The sequence below is a fragment of the Homo sapiens genome, chromosome 11 (genome assembly GCF_000001405.40).
Source record: "Homo sapiens chromosome 11, GRCh38.p14 Primary Assembly".
Classification (NCBI taxonomy): Eukaryota; Metazoa; Chordata; class Mammalia; order Primates; family Hominidae; genus Homo; species Homo sapiens.
In genome coordinates this window covers 114,923,659-114,931,886 of record NC_000011.10, presented here as the reverse complement: position 1 = coordinate 114,931,886, position 8,228 = coordinate 114,923,659, and the positions used below count along the sequence as shown (strand labels likewise).

The 8,228-nt window shown below is 46.7% G+C and overlaps 1 annotated feature.

Annotated features, from left to right (window-relative positions):
• Positions 1,838-2,338: an enhancer, noted in NCBI's record as "H3K4me1 hESC enhancer chr11:114800269-114800769 (GRCh37/hg19 assembly coordinates)". NCBI's record gives its function as "activates a minimal SCP1, AML or CMV promoter by ChIP-STARR-seq in primed H9 embryonic stem cells {active_cell/tissue: H9 hESC(primed)}" and the evidence as "EXISTENCE:reporter gene assay evidence [ECO:0000049][PMID:30033119]".

Here is an 8,228-nt window from a genome sequence, read left to right as displayed (position 1 = left end):
ATCTATCATCTATTTATCTGAACAATGACTATTATCCTCATTAGGGGTGGTTAAAAGTCAAAGATAATAGAGGTGAGAAACTTCAAATAAGAGTAACTACAAGTCCAATTTGTACTTTATAAAGTGCACATGAGGACAGTTGTCATCAATAAAATAAACCATTAAATACAGAAACCATTAGATGCAAACAAAAGTGTCTACACATTCATAATTTCTTAATCTCTTATCCTTGATGATAATGAGTCCATTGACAGACATTACTGGTGAAAGCTACAAACAGATGCCAACATAGGCAAAATCAACGCAGAGCTTCAGGCTGTGGAAAGAGCCTGCCTAGGACTGCAAACAGGGCGCATCTCACTGGTGAAAGCTACAAACAGATGCCAACATAGGCAAAATCAACTGCAGAGTTTCAGGCTGTGGAAAGAGCCTGCCTAGGACTGCAAACAGGCCCCATCTCATCATCTTACCAGACGTGGACACTGTCTTCCTCAGAAGCTTCTGCCTTGTAGCCTGGGGTGATGAGATCTAGCTCCCCTACTTCTCTCTGCTCAGAGGTACTGGCTGGACCATAGGAAAGACCTCTGGTCTCAACACAAAAGGCACCCCCAGAGACTTCCCAGACAGGCCTTATTTAGGGACAACAGATCATATCTTTTTTTCCCTTCCAGGTAGATACCCCAGGGAAGGAATAAAGCTTGGGGAAAAGTGAGGTCTTGCATGGTCACTTGCAAATGCTAACTAACAAGGACTACTTGGCAGCCTTAAGTCCTTTCTGATTGCCTGGGTTGTCAGAGGAATGCAAAACACCCAGGTGAGGTGCAGTAGTGGGCAGCCCCCGAGAATGGGGGCTGAAATGTGATTATCCCTTCACCCACCCTCTCTCAGGCACTGGCAACAAAGACTCCTGTGTCTAGTCAATCAAAACATCTGTCTACCTGAAGCTTTGCTCCAGGTCTTTATGTATCATTATTACTATATCAGACTACCCAGTTTTCACATACACGTAGCCCTCCTGGGGCCAGAGCTCCCAGCGAGTGTGCCTGCAGTTAGATCAAGGAGAAAGTCTATTTGTCCTGCTCTCTCAGGGAAGCTGAGCCCCTTCACTTTAGCTGCTTCAGGCCCTGAGAAGGCATTGCCTTCTGAATGACACTGACCAAAGTGTAAGTGGACACTGACCAAAGTATAAATGGGCAGGTTAGGAAATGTAATTCTGCTTTTTAATGAAACATATAGGGCTTATTGATGCATATTTTCAGTTGAGACGGTGCATCTCAAATGGGCAAAATAAGGTGTCTCCTGAGATTAAAGCACCTTCTGAAAAAATCTTGCAAAGCAGCTTAATCAGTACAGGCATGGAGATTCAAATCGAGGCCCTCCAAGCCTTGTCTTAACAGTCTCCTTCCTCTAGGCAGCTCCCATCCTCTCTCCCTCTTTCTCCCTCTGCCCTCTTACTGTAGATTGCTCTTGGAGACAGGCATATGCTAATGTGAGAAGTCTTGTGAGATAGATGGATTGCTCCCAGGGTGAGGTAGGGTAGGCTATGGGTCTACCTGCCTCACTGGGGGCTAAGAGTCTGCAATGCATGACAGGACTGGGCCCAACAAGCCAGGGACCCAGAAATCACCAAAGTCACCAATGAGGCTGACTTCGCTCATTCAACCAAGATACATTGAGTACCTAACATAGATCAGGGGTTGCATCTGAATTTCTCAGACTTCTTTCATTTTGCCATCTTCTAATAATTTTCAGGTTTTCTTCTCACACATTAAATAATTGTGGAGTTTTTAGAGTAGGAAAGTGCCCGTAACACACCCATGCCTTTTATGACCATTAAGAGCCAGCAGGGAAAGGTGTTTTGCCTTCGATTACTAGGCTAGTACTTAACAATTAGAACTTCAACCCAGATCTCTTTTTTTTTTTTTTTTGAGACCTGCTTGATTTATTCTGATTAGTTAATACACAATGATGCAACTGTGATCCCCAAGTGTGCAAAATTAAAGCCTTCAACTGCAGCTGAGGAGAGGGCAGGAATGGTATACCTGGGGACAGTGATGAGTCAGGAACGACTCACAGGCAGCCGTGACCAGGGCAGTCTCCTCCCCAGGGTCAGGGGTCGGGGAGTGGCCTGAGGAGCAGGGCCCAAGGGTAGCCCAGGGTGAGGGAAGGGGGCAGAAACCTCCCCCTGGCCTAGGTCAGGAGCCCAGAAGTGCCACATGGCTGAGGGGGCAGTGGCCCGAGTAGGGCCAGAGGCAGGGCAGGAGAGCACCATTTCCTGGAGAGTTGTAAGGTAGGGAGGTGCCCTGCAGGAGAAGGCAGGAGGGGCCGCCTGCCCCAGGGGTGGAAGCCGGGCTGGAGAAGGCTGCAGCAAGAAAGACCTGAGGCAGGTACAGGGCCCGAGAGCCCGGGCTGGCTGGACTCAGGGGGCTCTCAGTGCAGCCTGGCCCAGGGAGCAGTCCTGACTCTTCAGGGATGCCCAGAGAGGGGCCGCAGACCCCTCAGGACCTCCTGTCTTCTCTCCCTGGAAAGGAGCTGGGGAACCCGTAGTGCAAATATGTGGACCACTCAGTTATGGAGGGAGGCTACCGGAAGGGGGCCACTGGGGTGTACCCCCTCCACTACCTTGGCCTCCACTGCTGTCCTCAGTGTGGCTGCTTCTCGTGACTGTGGGGACAAACAAGATGGGAAGCAAGAGTGGTTGTGTGGGCCCTGCTGCCTCCCCAAATCCCTTTCCCCCAGGACCCCCAGATGTGGGAGAGAGCAGAGAGCTGAGGAGCCCTATCAACCCAGATCTCTTGACTCCACGTTTTGTATGTTTTCATTTGCACTCGGGTTTAACAGGCATCTGTGTGCAATTTTGGGAATGCACAATTACAAAATCTCAAACATTTGGCCGAAAAGGACACTCAGATAGGTAAAATGACTTGCCCAAGGTCACTCAGCAGGTAGGACAAGAGAAGATTGGAGTCTTTAATCTCTGGACTTGAGGCCAATCCCGTTTCCATTCAGCCTGTGGTTTTCTTGGGCTGGAATTTTCCTTTTGCTCCCTTTTTCATTGTCTCCTTTTTGGATTTTGCCAAAACCTTCTCTTCTCACATGGAAGGCTCCAAGCCACACAATGGAAATAACCACCTATGCAGCAGAAGGACACTTTCATTCCCCTATCCACCCACTGGGGCTCCTGGCATGGTAGCCAGGACAAATGTCTCCTTTGGAGATGGGATCTGGAGATGAGGAATAATAATAAATTGAGGATTGAACAGGATTGAGCATTGCACACACCTCCCCATCTGCTCTGGTACAGGCTGCTGGATTTGTCTTAGATTAGGTCTCTGTTTCTGATCTGACAACAGATGCCCGAGCCATAAATAACTGTGTGTTTTTCCCTTGAACTTTCACTGCCATCTCCCGATGTCTCGTGTCACATTGCATTCTGGGGAGAAGTGCAGTGGAGCATGCTGCCATCTCCTTGTCCTCCCTCTGTGCCTCTTCTCTGGGCGGCACCACCCCAGTGAGTCCTAAAGTCGGCTCTGCAAATTAAAAAGCTGCAGGCATTGGTGAGGTTTTCTGTGGAAGCTGGTGATTAGGGGCCCAGGATTCCTGGCCCGCTCCCCATTAACCCAGCTCAACCCTGGCTTCTCTCAGGTAGACTGAAATCATCTGCGTGGGCAGAAATCACCTGCATGAGGTCGTGGTAAAATTAGATCCCTGACCTGGCATTTGGCAAAAACAAGAGAGGTAACAGGGAGACTTTGCAGGCAGTTAGGCCAGCCTGGGAACCTCCAGGGCAACTGATGTCCTCATGTGATGCTGACCCCCGTGCTCCCAAGGAGTGACACTAATACATAAGGAAGAATCTCCTTCAGCCCTGCAGGGTGAAACTAAACAACTGGAGTCCTCATCCTTCATGGTATAGTATATACCTTCCCTGCCCCATCTCTCTTCCGTTTCTCTCTTTTTCTAATTGTATTTGGCTCATTTAGGAATCCAGAGAAGTTATCCTTGCTACATATCAAAATGGAACATTGTATAATCAAGAAAACCTAAAGTTTAGCTCTTTCAGCTTGTCTTAGTGACAGATGAAAAACTGATATCAGAATAGCAAGTTCAGATGTTGGCAAAGGTTCAGAATTAGAACCGATTCCATTTTCTGCAGCTCTGTCTCCATGCTGTATATCTTCTCTCTCTCCCTGTCTTTCTCCTTCCTCTCTCTCGACCTCCTTTTCTCACACTATCCTCTCAATCTCTGACATCTCTCTCAATTTCCCTTCTGATTTCCCAATCATTCTTGTCATGTTTCCCATTCTTATCAGACTCTCTGCCATCCCTCTATATTCCTCTCTTTTCTGTCCTGGCTTCTGTTTCTCCCTCTTTCTTGCTCTCAAGGTCTCTGTCTGTGGGCCTCTATTTCTCTCTTTCCCATTGCCCTTCATTTTCTCAGTCTCCCGAGGTTTCTGGTAGGAGATGGTCATGACACAGCCATGGCCATGCTACCTCAGTGCCTTACTACCTCTGCCCCCCTAGACCCACTCCACTTCAGGTGATAAGGAAGTTCAAGGCAATGGAACTTGGTGCACTGCTTTTCCAGCTGCTTGACTTGGGGCATTTCTCCTGGTGGTGGTCTCAACAGAGGATCAGCAGTTCTCCCTGGACTGACCAGGCAGAGACCCTTGCTCTGCCTTCACTTTTCCTAACCATGGATTTTGTCCCCCTGTTCGAGGGCTCACCTTACTCACCCTTCTCCTTCTATTTCCTCCCTGGCCTCTGGTCTTTATCTTTCTCTCTGGCTCTTGACCTTATTCCAGCTCCCCCTTTATTCATCTCCTTCTCCCCAACACTTTTTTTCATCTATTTACTGTATTAGTCCATTTTAACGCTGCTAATAAAGGCATACCCAAGATTGGGCAATTTACAAAAGAAAGAGGTTTAATGGCCTTACAGTTCCATGTGGCTGGGGAAGTCTCACAATCATGGTGGAAGGCAAGAAGGAACAAGCCACATTTGACATGGATGGCAGCAGACAAAGAGAGAGCTTGTGCAGGGAAACTCCTCTTTTTAAAACCATCAGATCTCATGAGACTTATTCACTATTATGAGAACAGCACAGGAAAGACCCACCCCCATGATTCAATTATCTCTCACTGGGTTCCTCCCATGACACATGGAAATTGTGGGAGTTACCATTCAAGATGAGATTTGGGTGGGGACACAGCCAAGCCATATCACTTTGTCTTGTCTCATGACCTAACTCCAGCCCTGTTTCTTTCCTTTTGTTTTTCTTTCTCATTATTTTCCCTCATCCTGTCGATATCTTCCCCTCATGCACTCATATAGCCAAGTTTGTCTTTCCCCTGGGGGAGATTCCAGACCCTCTTCCTGTAGAGTATGCAACACTTTCCTACCATCAACCCCTTTGTCTCTTCTCTTGGTCTTCCTGCAGCCCCAAGTCTCTGCTCTAGGAGTGGCATCTACTTTCTGTTCTGCAGAAAAACTGGAGTGTTTCACCTGTTTCTGCAGACCTGGGTGTTCCTGAGTAGACTGAGTTCAATGTGGCATACCACTTAATAAGCCAGTGAAAAACCAGAAACAACAATTTAGGGGAGATCAATGAAAAAATACTCTTGCAAAACATTTTGGGATTCATTGGCATCAAGGAGAGGAGACTAAGTGGGGACTGAGTAGAGTCTGCAAGTAGGTGAAGGGTTGCAGTATAGGGTGAGGCATATACAGCTGTTTTCATGTGAACAAAAAAATATGTAGCAAAAGTAAAGAGTGAAGGATTAGCTGAAGCCATGGGGATCTGGCTAGGAGATCCATGAGCAGCTGGGAAACATTACCCAGAGAGGTTATGGGGCTGCTCTAAGACAGTTTTGGAAAAGGGTCAACTTATCTAGATGGAATGGTTTTGGTGGTGTCCTTCCTTGTGGCAGACGATGGAAAAGGTGACCTCCAGTTCCCTTTGTGTTTTTAGCTTCTTGCTTTCTCCTCAGCCACCATAGCATTCTGACTCTGTGAATTTGTGACTGCAGATGCCTCATTAGCCCCTGTAAATAGCGATGTAGCCTTGCTATGTGAGCCATCACAGGCATGATTCATCATTCCAGTGCACTGACTTGACACAGCCCACTCCTGCTTTGATGCCATTCCTTCCTAAGAGGCCCCCCTCCTTCCTCTCTCAGGGTACCAGGCCTATCCTGTATTCCTTCCCTGGGACCTGGCCAGATGACTTGGAAACCCTCAGGAACTTGGGGTTCTCAGGCCTAGGTCCCATTTCCTAGTCAGACAAGTCAGACAAGTAGCCCAATTCTGCCCCCTCCTTGGACAGTTCCTGCCTCCCTTCTTGGTCTGGCTCAGCATAATCTGGGCAGCAGGCATGATACAAAGCAAGGCAGTGCAGCTGGCCAGCCAAGACCATTCTGCATTCCCGAGCTTTGAGACAGAGTCGTCAAGGTCTGAAGACCACCAAAGGGCATCTTATTGAGTGAGACATGCATTTTTAATAAACTATATTTGACTCCCATGATGGGCAAGTTATTAAGTCGTTTGACAGCCAATGGCATGAGGAAATGAAAGAATACCTTGAAAGTAGACATTTCTTGGCAGATAAGGGAGAAATTCAGTGAGCTGGAGGCAATAGAAAAAGAAATGCAAATAAAGATATGATGCTTTTACGCATCTGCATATAGTGGAGAAGCCATTAATATAACAGTGAATAGTGGGATTTTTATCACTACTTGACTTGAATGTCTTGAAAAACTAGCTCAGCCTTGAAAGGATCAGTCTTTGTAGCTCTGGACCAAGCCCCAGTCCTTTGTCTCTGTGTGGAGAAGATGAATTTGTTTTCTGATGTGTTTTTCTCCCCCTTTCTACATCCCTTTGAAATGAGCTTTGAGTTGGTTTTTCATCACCACCTGATTTAGAATTATTAAGGATAATGATAAGGAGTAAATGGTTCTTTCTCACTCAGAGGCACACTGCTGAATTGATGGCTGCAGATCCAGGCAGGCGGCCTCCTAGCCACTGCTCCAGGTGATTGAATGAATGCCCTCATTTTGGGGGACCTCTTTGAGACCCACCTTCTCCGTGGCCTTTACTGGCTACCCTATGACTGCAGTGAGCTTTCCATTTCTCTACACCTACAGACTGATTGACGATTTGGCCTGTCTGTTGGGCCCCATCTTTCAGTGCCCTAAAATGGTACTTTTCTTTGCAGTTGCTATATATTGTAATCTTTTGTTAGCTCTTCTAAGTTTGTGGTTTTGTGTTTTCAACCTCTGTCCACAAGACTTGGGATAGAACTTGGTCTAACCATATTCCCTTCCCCAGCTTGGGAAGGGGAGACCACTTGCCTTGGGGCATTTAGGAAAACAGACTAGTGAGAACAGGGTGTAGCCATAAATATCAGGGCCTTTATTATCAAGTGGGTTCTGATATGCACTTGATAAGCCCAGAACTTGTGTCCTAGAAGTGGATATTTGGAATTGTTCAGTGGCCTCATTCAGGGGTCTCTCCCTTATGTTGTTCTATCATTACTCCCTTAAGAATTGTAGAGAAACTAGTGTTTGCAGACTCCAGACACATGCTGTGCTAGGGAGAGACTGCCTGGAGGTAAGAGGTCCAGTGGACAGATGACTCATCTTATTGCCTTAAGACTCCTTCCATATTCATGATGCATGAAGCTCATGGATTCCCTCTTGCCTCATCACTTGCATTGCAAAGTCTTCCACTGAGCCCTGTGGAACTGTGCTCTGTCTGTGACAAAATCTCCTGAATCTTCAATCTCTTGTTTTAACAGATCTATTGCCATTTTGCTCTAACTAAACCATCCTCTTCCCTGATGACTTTGTTTTCCACTAAAACCCATTCAAACATTGGCTTTTTGCTCCTACTCCCCCACACTACCAGGCTTGGTGCTGGAGTATGTGCTTTCTTTTGTCCTCAGAGCTGTGTTTAGAGTTATTCATCCTCTTTCCTAAAAGTGCCCAACTCTTTGAAGTCATCAGACCATATTTCCTTCACATACTTAATGTCACCAACTGAATGTCTAATAAAAATCTCCCAAATCAAGCTTGCTTTCATCAATTCCACACCCTAAACCTGCTTTTCCACTCAGTCTAAACTCATTAGATGATACTACCACTCAGTTGCTTTGTCTGAAAGTCATAGTCAAACCTAACTTTTATCTTTCTCAATGCTGTGGTTTGAATGTGTTCCCCAAAGTTTATGTG